This window comes from Homo sapiens, chromosome 14, assembly GCF_000001405.40.
Source record: "Homo sapiens chromosome 14, GRCh38.p14 Primary Assembly".
Taxonomy (NCBI): domain Eukaryota; kingdom Metazoa; phylum Chordata; class Mammalia; order Primates; family Hominidae; genus Homo; species Homo sapiens.
Genome location: NC_000014.9, coordinates 51,444,130 through 51,465,629, shown reverse-complemented (window position 1 = coordinate 51,465,629; position 21,500 = coordinate 51,444,130). Strand labels below are relative to the sequence as shown.

Below are 21,500 nucleotides of genomic sequence, written 5' to 3'. Positions count from 1 at the left end.
GATACATGCAACACCATGGATGATACTCAATGGAATTATATAATGAAAACTCTTTTTTTGTCTGGCTTCTTTAACTGAGCATGATGACTATGCTTATTTAAATTCTACTTATTTAGAATTCTATAAATTGCAAATCAATTTGTAGTTGCAGAAAACAAACTATGGTTACCTAGAGATGGCGGGGGGAGGGAGGTTGGAGGGGCTGTGAAGGTTTAGAAGGGCTCTTTTGAGACTGATAGAAATGTACACTTCCTTGATTGTTATGGTGGTTGCTTGCATGCATACAAATGTCAAAACTCATCTAATGGTACATTTTAAATATATGCAGTTTATTGTTCATGAGTTATGGCTCAATAAAATTTTTTTCAGTAAACTTATTAGTAAAACTAAACACAAACAGAAACAATCATTCTAGTAAACCTAAAAATAGCATTATCGTTTTTTGTCTCATGACATAATATCTGTGTTAATTTTCTAAGAATGTTCATTACATTTTTCTTTCTATTTTCCACCTGTCCCTTGCATTATCTGTTTTTCCTTTTTGTTGTTATTTTGGTTCCTTTTTTGATATTAAGAGCCATTCTTTTAATTTCTGGTGGTTCTTGGCTGATTGGAAGCCTGTATATGTGGCAGGGAATGAGCTTCATAATTCCCTTGAATTATTTCATAGATTGTTGATCTAGCAGAGATCCAGTTTTTAATGCTGGAGGGCTCCTAAATTTCAGTTTCTGCATGCAATTTCTCTTGGGCTTGTCCGTTCCCCTACAGAGCAACCCTCCAGCCCCCTGCTTCAGGTATATATACCTGGCTGGCAGCATTCTGGGGGCCAAGATGGGTAAGAGACCTCACCATTGAGTATGCAGCTCTTCCTTCCTGTTTACAGACCCCTGACCTCACTACCACTCTACGTTCTGTCTGGAAGTCCCAGAACTGAGCCCCTCGGACAACACCTCCTGCAGTGGGTATCCATCTTTCACTATTATGGAGAAGGCCAGTTTTCTTGTTGCCCAGAGTAACAGGGCACGAGTGGCGGTAGTTTTTGCTAACCCAGTTCTCCTGTTCTCAGCTCTACCCCATCCCCGCCTTCAGAAATACCTGGAGAAATAACTGGAGAGTTCTCCTGCACGAGTTAGTTGGCTTTAGCATACATTCTGCTCTGTTCTAAGTTAGGGACCACTTCATCTGTTTTTTGTCTTCCAGAAATTTATTACCTCTCCTCTGATTTTTTTTTTTCCTTCACCTTTTAAGTTCAGGGGTACCTGTGCAGGATGTGCAGGTTTCTTACATAGGTAAATGTGTGCCATGGTGGTTTGCTGCACAGATCATCCCATCACCTAGATATTAAGCCCAGCACCCATTAGCTCTTCTTCCTGATGCTCTCTCTCCCCACACCACCTCCTCTGCTGTTTCTTTTGCTGTTCTCATTGTGCTGGAATATTTTATTCCTTCACTATCTTTAGAGTTGAGTTTTAGGTTGGAGCAGAGATAAATATGAGTACAACTGCACTCTTTAAAACCTCAGACCAGTGCAGTGGCTCACACCTGTAATCCCCACACTTTGGGTGGCCAAGGTAGGAGGATAGCTTGAGCCTAGCAATTGGAAACCAGCCTGGGCAACATAGCGAAACCCCGTCTCTAAAACGAACTAGCCACACATGGTAGTGCACGCCTGTAGTCCCACCTACCAGAGAGACTGAGGTGGGAGAATTATCTGAGCTCAGGAGGCTAAGGCTGCAGGGAGTGGTGATCATGCCACTGCACTCCAGCCTGAGCAATGGAGTAAGACCCTGTCCCCTCCATCACCCCCAAAAACAGAAAAGAAAAACTCAGGAAAACATTTATAACTGTATTTTAATATTGACATGCAAAAAACTGTTGTGGGTAAGTACTCAATACATCTTCCATGAAGGCCTACAATGTGTCTGGTAGAGTGCCAGGTGTCAGAGGCACTGGAGCCTGTCTGCATGTAGCGTGCTCACTGGAACCTGTTTTAAGTAAGACAGTTCCTAAGAGGTTCTGGCCTTGCCAATTCTACTTCCTGTTCTGTGCTCTCTAGAGCTTCCCAGGGCCTTTCCTGTGGATATGTTCTGGGCATTTACAATTGGCCCTCCATATTCATGGGTTCTGAATCCATGGATTTAACCAACTGCAAATTGAAAATTTTCTGGGGGAAAAATTCCACAAAGTTCCAAAAAGCAAAACTTGAATTTGCTATGCACCAAGTACTACACTGAATCCATACAAATTAAGTGATGTGTAGGTATTATAAGTAATCTAGAGATGATTTAAAGCATATGGGAGGATGTGCATAGGTAATATGCAAATACTATGCCACTTTATATCACAGACTTGACCAATTCTTGATTTGAAAACAGCATGTCCTTTAGGGCCAGAAAAAGCAAATACTTTCAGTCAGTAGATTAATGCTACTTAGTGAATGGCTACCTGAGTGAAATTGAGAAAATTCATGACAAGAAGAGCAAAATATTCTTTTCTAGTTAACCTGGTTGAATGCGATAGGGAAAGTTGTCCTTTTCATGTTTTCAACCTTCCTCAAACCACAGAGTCAAGGAAGGAGTGTATAGCTGGAATATCTATACATGGCAAATGCTTATTTTATTTTTATAACAATCTAGCAAGGGTGGTTAGTACTGTCATACCACATTGTACAGACAAGGAAATGAAGCCACCAAGTGATTCAGTTACTTGCTTAATGTCACATAACAAGTTGTGGCACAGAGAGGATTAGAACTCTCAGCCTCTGGGTTTTTAGTTCATTTCTTCATCTGTGAGTCACCCTTCTCCCTTTCTCTCTCTCCCTTTATCTCTCTCTCTCTCTCTCTCTTCCTCCCTTATTTTCTTCCTCCCTTCTCTTTATTTTATTTTGACACTTGATCTTATGGGTCTTCACAATTCAACTTCCAAAGAAGCTTAATCTTATGAACAAATGCAGAATGGCCCAAGACCAAGCCTTTCCTTATCTACAGGTACAGGATTCTGATGGAGCAATTCTGGAGACACATACACTAATATCCAGCAGGAACCCTCACCTCTTGATTACCAGGAACCAGAAAGGTGGGGTCTACCCATTTGGTCTCAGTGAATAATTGCTGCACAGAAGCCCAGAAGAAGGGGAAAGCCCGAGTCCTAAACTCAGCAAGGGCCTGCCTACACCAGGAGCCAGTTCAAGCAGGCACAAGCAGGAAGCACAGTCTCACCAAAGGAAGAGTTGGGAGCAGGTGAACCACACCCATATAATTTCTTACCACGTACACAGCATCTCCCATACATCCACTCATTTGTATTCACAACCCCCCGAGGCAGGTATTATTGACATCATCCCATTTACAAAAGAGAAGAGGATCTCAGGCTCAGCAATGTCACATGACTGGATCACACACTTAGTAAATGGCAAAGCCAGGACCAGAGCCAGAGTCCACTGGATCCAATCCCACACTCTTCTCCAACATCTCACAGGAAAAATTAGTCCCACTGCTTTTTAAAAGATGTTTCTTCTCTTTCCTTCCTTCTTTCTTTCTTTTCTTCCTTCTTTCCTTGCTTCCTTCTTTCTTTCCTTCCTTCCTCTCTTCCTCCTTCCCTCCCTCCCTTTCTCCCTTCCTAAGGAATTTCTTCTGATAAGTTTTATTACAAGAATAAGAACAGCTAACATTTATTGAGTGCCTGCTGTGTGCTAAGCACCTTGCATGCATTTTCTCTTTACTGTTATCTCCAATATGTGGGTGAGAAAACTGAGATACTGAGACAGAAGTAACACCCACCAGCTGGCTAGTAACATGTAGACTCTAGGATTTAAACCCAGGCAGTCTGACCTCAGAATCTACTCTCTCCAATTCATCACTACCTTCCATCTCTATTCAAAATGAGCAAAGAAAATTGCTTGATTCTTACATTGACCAGCAAATTGGTGGCAGGCAGAGTTTTTAGGAAAACATGGTTCTCACCTGTTGGGGCCCTCACCAATATTATGGATGAGGCCTTTCTCTGAGCTAAGTTTTTTAATTTTTGAAGGACATCAAAAGACCAGTAACTCCTTGTATTTTTTATTCAGTATAGTCCTAATTGACATTCAGGTATTATTCATAGTGGTTTCAGCATTTGACTGGTGAGATTTCTTCTTCCTATCAAATGTCTGAATAGTTCTGATCTCTGTTATTGGGAATAGGAACACAAAGGAAGTAGCCTTTAACTTATAGCTAAACTTTATGGACACAATTGGTGGAAGGTTTCAGAGGTGGAAATTTTTTGGCACCTTTTATTACTTCCTCTGGAAGAAATAACTGGCAGTGGTAGCATCTAATCATCATTCTCTTGTCTGATCATAGGCAAGTTCAATGGTCAAGTACCTTGCTGTAGTCTAAGAGCAAAAATTAAACTGCAGACAACTGTAATTCCTGGACTGAGAAATTTCTCACAGAAATTCTTTAAATAGCACATGTCTCATTTGTTGTAATAGGTGTGCTTTATCTTTCTGGGAAAGATATACACAGCTCTTGTGTGGCTTAACTCAAGTACACATGTCTGTAGTCAAAATCTGCTAATCCCATTGGTTTCCCTTTGTGGCTCTTTGGATCTATAAAAGCAAATTTGACCAAGGGGTTTCCACTATCTTTTATATAAACTATATGTAGGGAAGGACTTGTTTTTTCCTCTCACTCCGTCATAAGCCAATACTTCTAATGTTTACAGAAATAAATTACTAAAAGAAAAATGAAAAAGGAACATACAATATACATATCCAGATTTTTTAACATAAAATCACTTTATCTTATTACCACAGTTTTAAAATGCTTAGTTCTCAATCTTTGTACTTTTCACAGACCACTAATCAACATCTTCAGGATCTACTCCAGAGGACTACACCTTGATTAGTTCCAGTTGAGAACATGTACAGGAAACATATCACTTGCTCTTACTAATAATTTAACTGATTTCTTGAAATCAACCTGATGTTTCTATGAAGGTGGTTTGAGATGTGGTGGTCCAAGACCCTTTGCTAGCTTTAAAACTCTGCTGATTTTTTAGAAAGCTTTAAAAAATATGTATCAAGAGCCATAAAATGTTCACGTCCTTGACCCTGTAATTATATTTTTAGGAAACTACCTTAAGGAAACATTACTTATGCACAGAGGGAGTCAGTAATTATACTTTTAGGAATCTATTTTATGGAAATAAAAGCATGCATGCACATAAGTGTTAATTGTAGGTATATTGAAAATAACCAAAGACTAGAAACAATGCAAAGTCCCTGAATGGGAAGAATGTAGAGCAAATTATGTTCCATGCTCCTCAGGGAAGCTCCTCTTTCTTACATACCAGACAAGGTCAAGTTCCCCCAACAGTTCCCTCTCGTGGTTCATGTGTGTTTCCTTGACTAAATAAACATCTGTGTAATTATTTAATGTATTTCTAATACAAGGCCCTGTTTCTAACTGTTTTCTCCAACATATTCCCAACACATGTTATAATTTCTGGCATATAGCAGCTGTTCAATAAATATTTGTTGAATGAATAAACACATTATACATGAATAAATTCTAATGACTTGGAAAGATTTCATGATATGATATCAAGTGACAAAACTGGGATGCAAGATTGTATTAACGGAAATAGTAATTAAATAAAGAGTACCGTTTTACTTCGTTTAGCAAGAACTTATCACAATAGTATCAGGAAGGCCAAAAGATTAGCCATAGCCGAAGTTTGTAAAAAAAAAAAAAAAAAAAAGAGAGTCAGTAATTTTAAGTCAGCTGTATGCGTCAGCTTTTTTTTTTTTTTTTTTTTTGAAATGGAGTCTTGCTCTGTCGCCCAGGCTGGAGTGCCTTGGCATGATCTTGGCTCACTGCAAGCTCCGCCTCCCGGGTTCACACCATTCTCCTGCCTCAGCCTCCCGAGCAGCTGGGACTACAGGCACCCGCCACCACGCCCGGCTATTTTTTTGTATTTTTAGTGGAGACGGGGTTTCGCCATGTTAGCCAGGATGGTCTCAATCTCCTGACCTCGTGATCCGCCCACCTCGGCCTCTCAAAGTGCTGGGATTACAGGCGTCGCCAGCGTCAGCTTTTTTAAGGTATAATTGAAACAAGGAGAAAAGCAAAGAGTATTGCTTGGGAAAGGGAAGAGAGAAAGCAGAAATCCCCAGTGACTGTTCTACCTCTGTGCTAGTCAAAAGAAAATCTGGTGCTTAACCTAAAGAGGGTTTTGAACAAACCATGTAAAGAGGAAATTTCAGTGCCGGATAGGCAAGAAGTTAGTGAGGGAGGGCCTAGTCATTTCAAGTGGCCTCAAGAATCCAGGCCCATGTGAATTGGATTCCAGGGCCTACAGGAATTTCAGAGACACCAATGGTCATCTTTGAGAGATTAGAAGAGTTAGAAAAAATAGCAAATGACTGAACAGCATGAGACCTTGTCAGAGAAAGTGATTTTTGCGCTTTGTTGCTACAGAGAACAGAAGTAAAACCAGTGGATTTCAGTTATAGGTAAATAGATCTAAGGGTCAATCTAAGGGGAGAACTATTTAACTAGCTGCTAGCACCGTTCAGCACTTCACTACGCTGCCGTGTGCATCTCCGATGCTCCGTACGCTTCTGACAGATACGAAGGAGGAGGGATGGGGTTGTTAGTCCAGACAACCTCTGCCATCTCTGCTAATTCGAGGAAGCTCTCTCATTCTTTCTGGCAGCCCAAGCCACTAAGTCACAGCCTTGCTTCCAGTACCAGTGAACTTGAGTGTTTTAGTAAGTACCCTCCTTCATTTCCATCACCAGCCCTCTACACAGCTTAAGCAGCTGCAGACGTCTCATCACTAAGACCTAGAGTACATCATGGCTTGTGAAGCAAAATCCACAGTTGGTCATACTGGAAATGACTGGACACCATGATTCACCCTTTGCTCACCCCAACACCAGTCCAACCAAAATAATCAGGTTGCAGACTAGAACACAGTCCAGGTGCCCTTTCAATTCTTCATTTTCACTTTGCTTATCTTCTAGTTTTCCTAGTTATAAATAATCAAACAGCCAATTGGTTCTGGAACTGCATCACTAATGGTCTGTAGAGATAGTATTGAGGAATTCACTGAATTTAGGAAGACCCAGAAAGGACTGTCTATCAAACTTCAAAGGACTTAACCCATTTAAAACACAACAAAAACCCTTGGAGATAAAATGCTGCATAAAGACACTGAACAGCTTGAAGATAAGACACATAACCTCAAAACCTTCCATGGAAGCTGTGAACATGCTATCAGGATCATCTCCCAAAAATGCAATTTACTGTGAAAATCTAATCAGTCATTGGGCAAACATTTCCTTGGACTGATAAGAGATTGGGGTAGGGGTGAGAGGAGATGGGAAAGGGGCCATGCAAGAAAAAGGAACAGTTAATAACTGGTATTGATCTCTCGTATCATATCAACACAACTCTCTTCTACTCTTCAAAAATCATTAAAAATGACAACATACAAAGCCACATAGGTTAAAGAGTGAACCACTGAATTTTGGAAACAAAGGAATCAAGTTATTCACATGGAATGCAAGTCTGCTTTTTACCTCCTTTATCTGGCCCACATTCCAAGGCACCTTAAAAAGGTTAATAAACAAACAATCATGTCAGAACCCAAGCTGATCTCAGAGCAGGCACAGGTTGAGTTCTCAAGATCCTCTTCTACTACCAGGATTCACTAAATATTAATGATTTGATCCATGTGTTCCCCATTAGTAAACATCCATTCTATGTTAAGGCATTCATGCAATAGGTGCTAGGAATGCAAAGATGAAAACACACCGTCACAGCCTCCTAACACATACTCTCTCAAGGTGCTCCATGCAATATGCTTTTTATAAGCCAATCATTTTGCTCTACTGAAAGTTCCCATAAATAATATTCTCTGACCTATTGATTAGACCCTTCACCCAATTACAGCGAAGTGCTACCATGTGACCTGCTCAGTTTCTAATACCTGGAACCTACACCTAACACTTGTATAACTGGGGCATCTTAGAAAGCACAGCTCAGGTGTAATATTTAGGAATGGTGGATGTTCAGGAGGATCATCTGCAGGAAAAATGGGGGACATTTCTCTAACTCTTTGCCACATCATTAGCTTCAAATGGAAAATAAGATTACAAAGCAAGGACCTGAAATCACAGGGACTCGTAGCTTCCCATATCTACTTTTTATAAAAATGCTTCATCAACCACAGCACCCACCCTTCTGTCATTGGTTCGTTTTTCTTCTTGTTTTGTTGTTTTTTTTTCTAGTCATCATATACTTGATGATTTCCAGCTTTTATTTGTTATTGCCTATGTTTTCAATTCTCTTTTTAATTTTGTTTTTAACTGACACAATAATTGTACATGTGGATGGGATATATTGTGATGCTTTGATACATGTTTACATTGTGTAATAATCAAATTAGGGGATTTAACATATTCATCATATCATACATTTATTATTTCTTTGTGGTGAGAATATTCTAAATTCTCTCTTCTGGCTATTTTGAAATACACAATACAACATTATTAACCATAGTCACACTGCTGTGCACTAGAATATATTCCTTCTGCCTAACTGTAACTTTTTGCCTATGGGCCAATATTTCCTCATTTTCCTCTCTCTTGCTCTCCCTAGCCTCTAGTAACCACCATTCTACTTGTATGAGATCAACTTTTTTAGATTCCATATATCACTGTGAACATGCAGTATTTATCTTTTGATGCCTAGCTTATTTTACTTAATGTCCTCCAGGGTCATCCATGTTTCTGCAAAGAACAGAATTTCATCCTTTTTCTGGCTCAGTAGTACTCCATTGTGTATATATGCCACATTTTCTTTATCCATTTTCCATTGATGGACACTTAAGTTGATTCTGTATCTTGGCTATTGTGAGTAGTGCTGCATAAATGCGGGAGTGGAGATCTCTCTTCAATATACTGATTTCAGTTTTGGAGCATTGCTGGATATGAACAGACACTTCTCAGAAGAAGACATTTATGCAGCCAACAAACAAATGAAAAAAAAGTTCATCATCACTGGTCATTAGAGAAATGCCCATCAATGATAGACTGGATAAAGAAAATGTGGCATATATACACCATGGAATACTATGCAGCTGTAAAAAAAGGATGAGTTCATGTCCTTTGCAGGGACATGGATGAAGCTAGAAACCATCATTCTCAGCAAACTAACACAAGAACAGAAAACCAAACACCATATGTTCTCACTCATAATTGGGAGTTGAACAACGAGAACACATGGACACAGGGAGGGGAACATCACACACTGGGGCCTGTCAGGGGGCGAGGGGCTAGGGGAGGGATGGCATTATGAGAAATACCTAATGTAGGTGATGGGTTGATAAGGGCAACAAACCACCATGGCACATGTATACCTATGTAACAATGTTGCAAGTTCTGCAGAATGTATCCCAGAACTTAAAGTATAATAAAAAAAATTTAAAAGAAAAAAAGAGAAAAAGAAATATTCCCACAGGATGATGATTCAGCCAGAAACAAACACCCACCCAGAGCCCCCTCAAGCCCAGTGCTTCCTAAGACTTTATCCGCGTCTGGATGCAAGGAACTGCTCCTCTCCTTTGATCCTGCAGGCTTCACCCACCCACTGCCTGAAAATAACAGGGAGATCAGGCACAGGTCCAAGACCTTCTCCTAAATTTTAATCCTTAATCTTACCCCTGAAGACTAGGCCTCTGCTGACCTTGAACTTCACCTTCCCCCATCTTTGCATCTATCTGGCTTTTAGAGGGAGGCCTGCCCTCGGCAATGGAGAGTTCCAATTCCCTTACCTCTCCCTTTACTGCCTCCTCCCCATACCAGAATTCTATGCTGTCTCCTCTCATTCCCAGACGTTTGCTTTGCCTCCAAATTTCCTAAATTCTATGACTATTAACCCTGAGTTTGAAGCTGTTCTCTGCCCAGTGTTCTCCTGCTCTTGGACCCTAGCCCAGGTCACCTGACTCTACCAAAAGAAGTTAAGCGACTCACCCAAGATCACACAGACTGATGATGGCAAAACTCAGAGCTAAAAATGCTGCTTCAGTGTCCGGGACAGGTTAACACTGACAACTATATATTTGAGGAAATAAAAACTGCCCGACAAATGCAAGAATTTACAAAACCCATAAATACAGTATCCAAGGTCAAGAAGTTTATAGGCTTTAAAAACTCAGCTCAAGATATCACCACAATGACAAGAGCAGTCAGGAATAATGATTGAAAGATCCATAATGGTGCCTTAAGAAAATCACTTCCTTGGGAACTGCTAGAAGGAGCTAGAACAGTATTGCTCAAACTGTGTTCTATGGAAAATTAAATTCTTGGGATGTGAATTAGTATGCCTTGACAAAATAGTTTCATAATCAGGTTAGCTTAGGAGGCATACTCTATATCCCCCTTGGGATTCCCGGTGCATTTAAGTATATTTAATGTCCTAAGAAGTCCTATAGTAAAGAAACTGTTACACTTGATTTAACCTCATCTTTTCTAAATTTACTTGACTACTGCTCACTGGCTCGCTCTCACTCTCTCTCTCTCTCTCAACAGACTACCTATTTGTCCTGAGAACACAGTTTGGGAAATTCTGAACCAGGTTTATTTAACAGGTTTTTAAAACTCCTGATTCTTTACATTTAATTATTCGCTAGAATGAACCAAACTACTGTCTTTGCTCAATTCATGGGATGATCATAAATCCTGTGCCATTAGATCCTCTGACATATGCTCTTCATTGAAATGCATCCTCATTCAGTGCATTCATTTTTTTTTTTAATTATAGGACCTAACAAAGGGAATGGAGAGTAATCACATCATTCCAAGACCCTTCCTTTGCAGTCCTGTAGTCACAGCTCCAAAGACTCTGGGTTTTGGAGTAAGAGCTGTAACTGCTCAAGAAGAATTCGTGAACAAAAGCACATCTTTCTGAGGAGGCAGAATATCACAGGCCTATGACACCAGACTGCTGGAAGAGGCACTAGAGGTTGACAATAGATTCCAACATCTCATAAACCAGGAAGCAGCCTCAGGAAGGTTGGCAGCTGCCAAACCCATAGGCTAAGCAGTGGTGGGACTGTGATTCAAACTCAGATATTTTGGTTCATCTGCCAGGAAATTTTTCCTGTCCTGGAATTATCTGCTCTTCTCAGGAGGGAAGAGCTCAGTCCTCTTCATCCTGAAACCCATCATAGGAAAGGCAAGAAGGAAATGCACCAAAATGTTAACTGTGGTTGACACTGAAGTGGTAATTTGGTCTTTGTTCTATTTTTTCTGCATTGACCAAAATGTTTACAAAGGACATACATTGCTTTTATGCCAGAGCAAAGTTATGTTTAAAAACATTTTAAAAGCCAGAAGGTAAAGTACATACCCTGGAAAGCATTGTGTACGTGGCTCCGCTCCTAGTTGTTGACCAAAATAAGCAGAGCTAATGAAATGCCATGGCATTTCCCTGTGCCAAGGGAGGCATTAGGCTGTTCTCAATGAATGACTCACGGAGGCAGCGTATAGAGGCCTCCCTGCTGGCTGCTGGCGGGGCATCGGCTCTCTCTGGTAGGCATTGTGCTGCTGTGGCTTCACCCACTGACTGGCACGGAGCAGAGCCCTGCTTCATCGCCTTTGGTAATTTCCTCTTAAAGCATGTGTCTCCAGTGGGCTTTGAATGGCTCCTCTGTGATTTCTAAACTCAACCTAACTGAGTATACAATTTTAATTGGAAAAAAATGGCTTGACGTTGCCTTTCTGTATTTATACACCAGCCTCCCACCTAGCAAAAACTAACTGTGTCTAAAAACAAGCCTAACTGTGTCTAAAAGCAATACTTTTAGTATTTTAATGCCTGTTTTGGAGTCTGAGCAGGTTGTACCTTGTTTACATATAAGGGGTGAGTGTGTCTGTGTGTGTGCACACATATGCGTGTATGTATGTGTGCATGCATGTGTGAGACAAAGCTAATCACTTAGGTCCTTCAATTCTAAAGAGAATAATTTGATAATCCCCTCAATCAAATAGCATGCAGTCAGTCACTTCCAAAATATCTATTTACTAAAGTTTTCCAAAAACTGTATATCCACTGTACCTTAAAGTACTCTGAATCTTGGACTATTATCATTCTTCTTAAAAGTAGCGGCTGAGGGTGTCTTCATGTCCACCATTTCCATCAATATCTCCTCATTTCTCAGTCTTCTCCGCCTGACATTAACCACAGCTCTTTGCTTCACAGCTTCCCATTTCAGGCTGTTCTTGCTCCTTCCCCTACCTCACCCTAACCTGTCCTCCCTCCCACAGTCCCAGAGTATGTTGGATCCTCCCTGCCAGCCCCCGACTCAAAGCCAACATCCTCCTCTCTGGTTTTGAATCCATCTCTTATCATTTTATCTCCCCAGGGTCCCTGATGCATTAATCACCTCTCTTGGGCACCACATCTTTAATTCTCTATTTTTTTTTTTACCAGCTTTTCCTGTCAGTTTATAAGCTTGTTCAGTTCTCACTCATCTTAAATTACTGCCCCTTAACTTTACATGGTCATCAGGTTCTTGCTTTATCTCTCTTGTTCCCTTTTCCTCAAGCTTCTCAGATGATTAGACTGAACTCACTGTCTCCATTTTCTCAAGTCACATTCCGTTCTCCCTGGAAGCAACCTGGCTCCCACAATCAAACCACTGAGAGGGTTTCTGCAAAGATTACCGATGATGAGACATCGTCTTCTCTCCTCAAAGTACTGGACATCTTCCTTGCCGTTGACCCTAATGACTGCTCATGCTTTGAGACACTCTACTCGTATGCCTTCTAACACCCTGTCTTCAGCCTTTCCTTCTTACACTCTGACTGTTCCATCTCAGCCTGTTCCACTGGCCCTTCTTTCTAGATATGCTCCTTAAACATGGAAGTTTCCAATGTTTCATTCTGCAGCATTTAATTCTTGATTCACTTCTCTTTTTATGCTACTCCTTGGGTGACTTAACCCACTTCTGTTTATGCTGGTGGCTCCCAAATATACTCTATCCAAGTCAAAGTCCTCCTGTTCTTGAGCTATAGACTCATTCCAAGTGCCTTCTTGATATCCTAACTTAGTTGCCCACTGGCACCTCAGTCAATATGCTCCAAATCAAACTTATTATCTCCTCAACATCCCAAACTTACAGCTTCTTCTACTATTCCTCATGTTAGTTTGAAAACCATCACTAGAGTGACCAACCATTCCCATTTTCCCAGGACTGAAGGGCTTCTGAGGATGTGGGACTCTCAATCTTAAAACTGTCACAATCCAGGCAAATGGAGATGGTCTCTCTAGCCACCATCCACTCATCATTGGGCCTAGAACCTTAGTCACCTTTGACTCGGCCCCCTTCATCCTCTTCTTCCATCTGCCTGTCCAGCTAATTTAATTTCCTAAATAGTTATTAAATTCCCATTTTTCTTTCCAACCCTCGCTCATGCTCTGATCATCTCTTGCCAGTTTTGCTACCCTAGCCTGCTGAGTATTCTCTCTACTGTCAGTTTTCATCCCTTTTCAATGTATGCTGTATTCAACTGCTGAAAGAATAGTTTTAAAACACCAATCTCACCCCATCTCTGCCCTGCTTAAAGCATTCCATGGGCATCCCATTGCTTGGGATAAAGCCCAAACAAGTTGATATGTCAAAGTCCTCCACGGGTGTCTTAATCTGTTTTGCATTGCTATAAAGGGATACCCAAAGCTGGGCAGTTTATAAAGAAAAGAGATTTATTTAACTCACCATTCTGCAGGTTGTACGGGAAAAATGGCACAAGCATCTGCTTCTGGTTAAGACCTCAGGAAGATCCCAGTCATGGCAAAAGGAAAAGTGGAGCTGGCATCACATGGCAAGAGAGGAAGTGGGGGAGGTGCCAAGCTCTTTTAAACAATTAGCTCTTGTGCGAACTAAATAGAGTGAGAGACCAAGTGTGATGGCTCACGCCTGTAACTCCAGCACTTTGGGAGGCTGAGGTGGGCAGATCACTTGAGGTCAGGAGTTAAAGACCAGCCTGGCCAACATGGCAAAATCCTGTGTCTACTAAAAAAATATACAAAAAAAATTACCCAGGCATGGTGGCACATGTCTGAAGTCTCAGCTGCTTGCGAGGTTGAGGCAGGAGAATCAATTGAACCCAAGAGGTGTAGGCTGCAGTGAGCTGACTTCACACCACTGCACTCCAGCCTGGGTAACAGACCAAGACTCTATCATACATATATATACATATGCATAGAGTGAGAATTCAGTCATTGCTGCTGGGATGGCACAAAGCCCTTCATGAGATATCTGTCCCCACGACCCATATACCTCCCACTAGGCCTCACCTCCAACATTGAGGATCAAATTTCAACATGAGATTTGGAGGAACAAATATCAAACTATATCAATGGTCCACCTATCCCTGGCCTCACCTGTGTCATGCATTGAGCTTTATGTAGGTATCTACACAGGCCAGACTGCTTATCCTCAGCTCTTGCTGTGACCTTTTCCTGGCATGTCCTATCTCTATCTCATCTCCCTTTGTCACCTGGTAAATTCCTCAAGATTCAACTGAGGTTCAAGACTCAACTCCTCCACGTCATTACCTGCAGGAGGTCTTCTGTGACATGCCCACTCTGCAGGTGGGTTAGCTGTTACCCAAATCACCCTCCACAGTGCACTCAGATGATCTCCTTACAGGTCAGTCTTTTCCTCTGGGCTGCCAAGTTCACAGGAGTACACACAGCATTCTCCTTGCCTCTGTGTCCATAGCATCTAGGACAATGCCTGGCATAAAACAGACCTCAACAAACATTTGTGGAATTTATCTATCTATTTGAGGTGCAAACTGATGGCCAGCAGGTCAAATCTAGCCCATAGTCATGGTTTGTTTGGCCCAAATGATGGCTTTTTATTTTTTTATATATCAATGTTTAAAAATCATGAGATCTCATACAAAAATCCCAAATTCTAGATTCTCTTGAGAAAACTAAATATCTGGAAACGTTAGATTCCTATTTTGTGTGGTAGCTGACCTCATGAGAGAGCACCTGTTACCATCTTAGCCCACATCTCACTGGGAGCCTGCATCTCTCCTCGACCCTGGTGGGGAACTGCTGGCAGAATCTTTTGAATGAGCTTCATTTGGAAGAGCTTCTAGGCATTTGTTTTTCCTTAAATAGTGAACTGATGGTTTAGAGACCAACTTGGTTGCCCCAGAATGTTTAGGGTAAACAAGAAACCCACACTGCCCAAAAAATTCTGGTCTGGTTTTCTGTCTAGATTTCTATCTAATATCTAAATTTTCATGCTGTAATTCCTATCCTCAATTTTTGAAACTCAAAGAATTTTATCTTAAATTTTCTTTCCTACATTTTCCCTGAAGAGCTCTAAGAGAAGATGGTAGTGATATTATCATCTTCAAACTAGCACTTTCCTCACTGCTATCTCATTTTCTTCTTACCTCTGTGGCAGTAAGTCACAGGATCTTGACACGAGAGATTCAATTTTATAAGTATATTGAATTTTTGCCACAGGTATGATTGTTTTCACAGTAAACAGACAACAATCACATGCACAGAGACATCTCAAGAGCTTTTTACATCTTAACTGTTAACAGCTTTATGAATTTTAATGGTTCAGGAAAAGTTTATTTTTCACCACAGGCCCAGATGGAAATCGCTGCCATCAGGAATAGCTGAAATCCCCAGCTGTGATAAAGGAGCAGATTTCTAGGCAGAGGAAATCAGAGTATGACCTACTGGTGCTGCCATCTGTTCCCCTATGTGGACCCAAGAGCTGGGGGGTTCCTGTGGGACCCAGGAACCATCAGCTGTGGGTTTGTGTTTTATTGGATTTAATTCAGCCAAGCTTCCTGACTTCCAGGCTTCCACAGTCACTCTTGAATGTTTGGCTCTATCAGATACTGCTACTATATGCTTTTTGATAATTTTTTATTAATAATAAAGTTAATTAAAATTAATTTAATTGAGAGAATTTGGTGACACTCTTTGGGATCACTACAGATACCACCCAACATACTCAATTCAGAATTGCCAAAGAGGGACTCCAGGGCCTCCTGCTGTTTCAGATGGCCTTCTCTGGAACAGTGGGCCAGCTCCTTCTTTGTGGCTTTGGAACTGTTCTGCAGCAGCACTGACAGACAAGAGAAGGTGCAGATTAGCCTGATAATCCCATAAGCTGTGATGGGAAAATCCACTGTGCACTGAGATTCCTTTCTCATTGGGTGGAATCTCAAAATCACCACCATGCTCTTTTGTTGAACTACCCTGAAGACTGATTTTCATGTTTCTCCTGAAGAACCTCCCACTGAAGAATGGCTAAATGCCAGACACTGACTGCCACAGGGAGAGCTTGGCCTTCCCACTATCCCTTTCCCTCTTGCCAAAAACACTCCAGGAAACTCCCTCTGAAGTCATGCATATCTTTTCTGGACTGTGACCCTGCCTGTGCATGACTGTGGCCACCAGCAGCTGGGTACAGCAACTGAGGGTCAGACATCTGCTCTGTAACAACAGCAGAGATGAATCTCTATTTTAATGAAACATGATGGGCTGCATGATTACAAGCAGCATCAGGTTTTTCTAAAGGCAGACTGCAGGCATTGTTTGCCTACCCTTGTCCCATTTACCTGGTGCCTGAGATGAGGTACCATGACTAGTCTGAACAAGCTTTTTGAGGCTTACCAAACTCCTTTTCCTTGGTGGTAACCTTCCTTCATGCATTTTTAAGTGAGAGAGAATGTCAAGATTATACCCACGACGAGCTGGGGGAGGTATCCAATTCAAATGTTTCATTTCCTGCCCCAAGTTTTATTGCATAAGTGGGATGGTATTTAGGAGTTTTATTTGAAGAAGAGAGACCCTGGCTTGGCCATGGTTTTTGAACACACGTGTCACATGCTTCTGCCTGACCTAACCTGCCCTTGAACTACAGACAGAGCAGTACAAGCCAACCAGTTCCATATGCCATTACTGTAAGCGCTAAATGACCATGGTCCCTCTTTCCTTGCCAATGGGTAACTAACTTATATTTCAGCATATATTTCTACCTCGGATTACACAGGAAGATCAGCTTAACAATTGCTTCTCAGACATGCCAACAAATTCATTTCAGCAAACACTATTTATCACCGGCTGTGTACTAGTCATGAAACCAAGATGAAATAGATGCAGTCCCTCACTGTAAGGAGCTTACAACTTTAATGTATGGAATTAGACACATGCACACCTAAATATAGATTAGTGAACTGGAACATGAATGCAAATAAATTATCCAGAATGCAACCCAGACAGATAAAGCAATGGAAATATTTGCTATAATGGTTAAAGACATATGGAGAATACAGTAAGAATGAATGCTATCTATATAATTGGAAATCCAGAAGGAGATGATAAAGAGAATGATCAAGAAATAATATTCAAAGAGATAATAACTGAGGATTTCTCAAACATTAGGAATTCCAAAAAATCCCAAATATATTAACTACAAGGAAATTTGCAAACAATCCATCATGGTGAGACTGTGAACACCAAACACAGAGATTATCTTAAAAGTATCCAAAGAGAAAAGACACATTTCCTACAAAGGAATAGCAATTAGAACAATACAAGCTTCTCTGTGATAGCATTAAGCCAGAAAAGACAGGGGAGTAGTATCTTCAAGACAGTACATAACTGCCAAGCTAGAATCATATGACGTCAAAGCAATAAGAAAATAATTTTGGCCATGATAGGGATTTAAAGTTATAAGTAAGGTGCTTTGAGAAAGCTAAGGGAGGAGCATTAATCGTGCATGGATGGTGGTGTTGAGGGGTGGGGAATGGAACAGATGTGAGTAGGATTGAGACAGCTGGGGAGTGAGGAGACAGGACTGCAGCCAGTGGTAGGATCCCTTTGTTTAAATGAGGAAAAGGCTCTACCTCAAATCCAACACAGTTCCACCCAAGGTGCCCAGAGTGTGGGCTGTAGGCGAGACGCCAATTCTTCCAGACTCTTCAGCTTGGTGGCCTTACATAAGGCACAGTCTGCACATTTGTAACTGCTGCCCTGAGGGGAGGTGCTCCAGATGGTGCAGTCTGAGCAAAGGCCTAGAGGTCCACATGGACATACTATGGTATGTTCAGGCAATAGAATGCCTCTGATAACTGCATCCCATAAGTACGACGTCTTCCTGGTGTTCAGGCTTGTGCACTGGACTGTATAGAAGAACACTGATTCCCATGAGTGGAGCAGGCAGCACACAGGTAAGCTAAATGGGAGCTTCAAGGCTGATAAAGCTCTTCCAGAATTCAATCAATGTGTTTTCCAAGGGCATCAGGGACCTAGTAGAATTCTAAGCCTGAGAAGGTCAAACACCATTTTACAAGTCCCTCCACATCTCCCCGCACCCCAGAGTGGCCTTGCTGTTGCTCCCCGCACCCCTGCAGGCCCTCTGCTCATTTACGCTTTTCTACTCCATGCCATGGAAATGCAAGGAGTTAGGAGCTGTAAAGGATTCCTTGTGAGTCCTACACCTCTGCCTGCATTTGCCCACTCATATCGGGACAGAGTATTATAAAGTATTGAAGTCTCCAAGAATCTTTGAGGTCATTCAGTACTTCCTCACAGCCATTGTGGAATTTCCTGTACAACATCTGTGACCAAAGCCCATCCCCATCCTGCCCAAGCTCTCCCAGGACCTAGAGGCTCACAGCCTAGGTCGTCATGATGGATCTCCTCTCCAAGATGTCAACTCTCATTTCTTCCTATGTCTGTCTTCTCCAAGGAAAAGAGCTTCAGTCTTCCCCTTAAATGACTGCACCCTAATCATTTTAATATGGTCAGGATTTGGCAAAGTACCTGCCCTCACCCCAATCACAGGTTTTATTTCACTGCACTGTAAACTTCACTAGTGATGCACAAGAGTACCTTGAGGGCAAAGACCATTTCTTATTGATCATTGCCAATATTCACAAGGTCTGGAGTACTAGTGGCTACATGATGGACATTCACTAAATTACTTCTGAAAGAATAACTAAAATGACAACCATATTGTCTGGTTTCCAAATCATCCAACTCATCTTTCTCTGGACGTGTGACTGACTTAGAAAACTATGAAATCCAGAACCCAATACAGGCAACCTCAACTTCCGTGTGTGTGTGTGTGTGTGTGTGTGTCTACACAAGAGAGAAGGACTACCCTCCTCTGGGGCCAATGTATTTTCCTTCTTTGCTCCCTCATATACTCTTGGGCAGCAGCAGTCTCTTATGAATCTTCAAGCTTATCTCTACTTTCTCAGTATTTATAGGGTAAATTTTCCCAAAGATGAAAAGGAGAAGCCAGAACACAGGGAAAACCATCGCGGTCACTCCTCTGGTTCCTTCTACCACTGCCCCAGCTCAAAGCTCTGCTGCGATGCAGATCATGTTTTTCCCAGAAAATGTAAACTTCTTAAGAAAACTGACTATCTTCTACAACTCCAGCACAGTGCTAGGCATACAACTAATTTCTGCAAGACAGTGTAGAAGCTAAGAATGGGCTCTGCAGCCAGTCACCCTGAGCTTGAATCTTAACTCCATCACTGTCAGTTCTGTGACAGTGGTAAGTACCAAACCTCTCGACGCTTCTGCCTCCTTATTTGTGAAACGGAGATAGTGATGTTATCTACAACACAGGTATGCAAATACCTACAATACATGCAAAATACCTGGTATGTAACATGCTATGTAGTATACGCAAGAAGCATTAGCTGTCATAATAATTTAATACATATTTATTGAGCTAATTATGGGTAAACGCAAAATTACAACATAAGACAGTCTTGTGCTAGGTACTTTTTCATACTCATTGAAAGCATTTACAGAGCCTTCTCTGTGCTAACTGCTGAGGGCACAAAGATGAGTAGCACTTGGGGAGATGATGTCACTTAGGAAGGTATTCTTTTCTCACTTTTTCCCTATTACATTTGATATTGTAAGGTGTCTCTGATGAGGTGTTAGCAGGTATCAAATCTTTAAGCATGTCTCCTAATCCTTTTGGACCTCAGTTTCCTCAACTGCAAAGCCAGGCGGTTTGGCTACTTGATCATCTAGCTTTAACATTGTATAACTTTATGATCATGGAGATTTGTTTGTAAAAAAAAAAAAAATTGCACTTCTGTTTCAGGGGTTTTTCTTCCACTCTTCTTCTCATGGACTAGGAAACCTGGGGACTTATTTTTGAGGTCACAAAAGAGGAAAAACCGAGACTCCTCAACCCAGACCCAACCACTGGCTTTGATGACATCAGGAAAGAGGGAGGAATGTTCTCTTCAGACTTGGGAAGCTGGCAGGCGACTCTCCTGGAGGCTGGTGTGCTTGAGGTCTCTGAGGGGGGCCCAGTCGCAGCCCCTATAGACCAGGATAGAACAATGAGATGTTTTCATGCCAGGACCTACAGAAGGAACCATTCATCTCTTGCTGCTTCAGGCAATAGTCCAGCTTCTCTTGGCAGGGAGCAAATCTATGCCAAGATTCACTGAGGTTTTGGTGGTCAACTGGATGGCAGCAGACCCTCTCTTTCTTCCTGGGTCCATTGAACAAATAAAAAAATTAATAGTTGATCAAAGTTGAGCCATTTCCAGGCTCCTGAGGCATTTCAATGATCATTATAGTATTATATCATTGAATAAGTTTTCAAGTACAGTGCATTAGGTAGGAGGTGGGGGAAGAACTTAAAAGGAACAGCTCTGAGGAGCTGCTTCATCTCGGGCCAGATGGGAATGGACTGGGATGTGGGTTCTCTAGACACCAACATCGACAACAAGGAGCTCTCAAGCACACAGATGCCTCCGCCCCCTATCAGTTGCACAGGGTTTCTCGCTAAAGCAGTTTAGAAAAACAATTTAGACATCTGAAGAATAAAACTCTAAGGGTATAGGGCTCCGTGACTTCTTGCCAGAGCCAAGAAGAAGCTGGCTCTCGACCTCACCTGCCATCACCATTCAAGGCAGACAGAGCCTTCAAAGTGCTTAAAAGAGATGAGTCAGAAGTCCAAATTCCCTTGCTCTCTCTCAGTTTTCATCAGCACCACAAGAATAGGCTGGAATTTTACTAAACGACTGAACACACACATTGCTAACAATGGATTCGTTACAGACTGTCCAGGGAAAACAGGAGAGAAAAAAATGAATGGCAGTGTAACCCCAGTTTCATATCATGGCAACCCTGTACAAACAACTCTCAGCGCAACCACATGCCAGTTCTCATCTTCACCTCCCAGACCCAGGTAGTCCTCAAGAGACAAAGCTCAGGAGCTAATCTCAGCATCTGATGGCAACAAAATTACCATTAAGCCTCTTGCCAGTGGGGCCAGCACTCACCAGGAAAAACTTACTCTGTTAGATAAAAACCCACTGCTGGGCGTGGTGGCTCACGCCTGTAATCCCGGCACTTTGGGAGGCCAAGGCGGGTGGATCACCTAAGGTCAGGAGTTCGAGACCAGCCTGGTCAACA

At 41.8% G+C, this 21,500-nt stretch overlaps 1 protein-coding gene and 1 long non-coding RNA gene across 6 annotated transcripts in view; one reads left to right on the top strand and one right to left on the bottom strand.

Moving 5' to 3' along the window:
* Window positions 1-11,118, top strand: part of FRMD6-AS2 (FRMD6 antisense RNA 2) — a 145,441-nt gene extending 134,323 nt beyond the window's left edge. The window contains exon 3 of the long non-coding RNA NR_051990.1: window positions 10,815-11,118. This is a non-coding gene — a long non-coding RNA (FRMD6 antisense RNA 2). The remainder of the gene's footprint in view (window positions 1-10,814) is intronic.
* Window positions 1-21,500, bottom strand: part of FRMD6 (FERM domain containing 6) — a 334,297-nt gene that overhangs the window by 265,098 nt on the left and 47,699 nt on the right. The gene's annotated exons all lie outside the window — the stretch shown is intronic.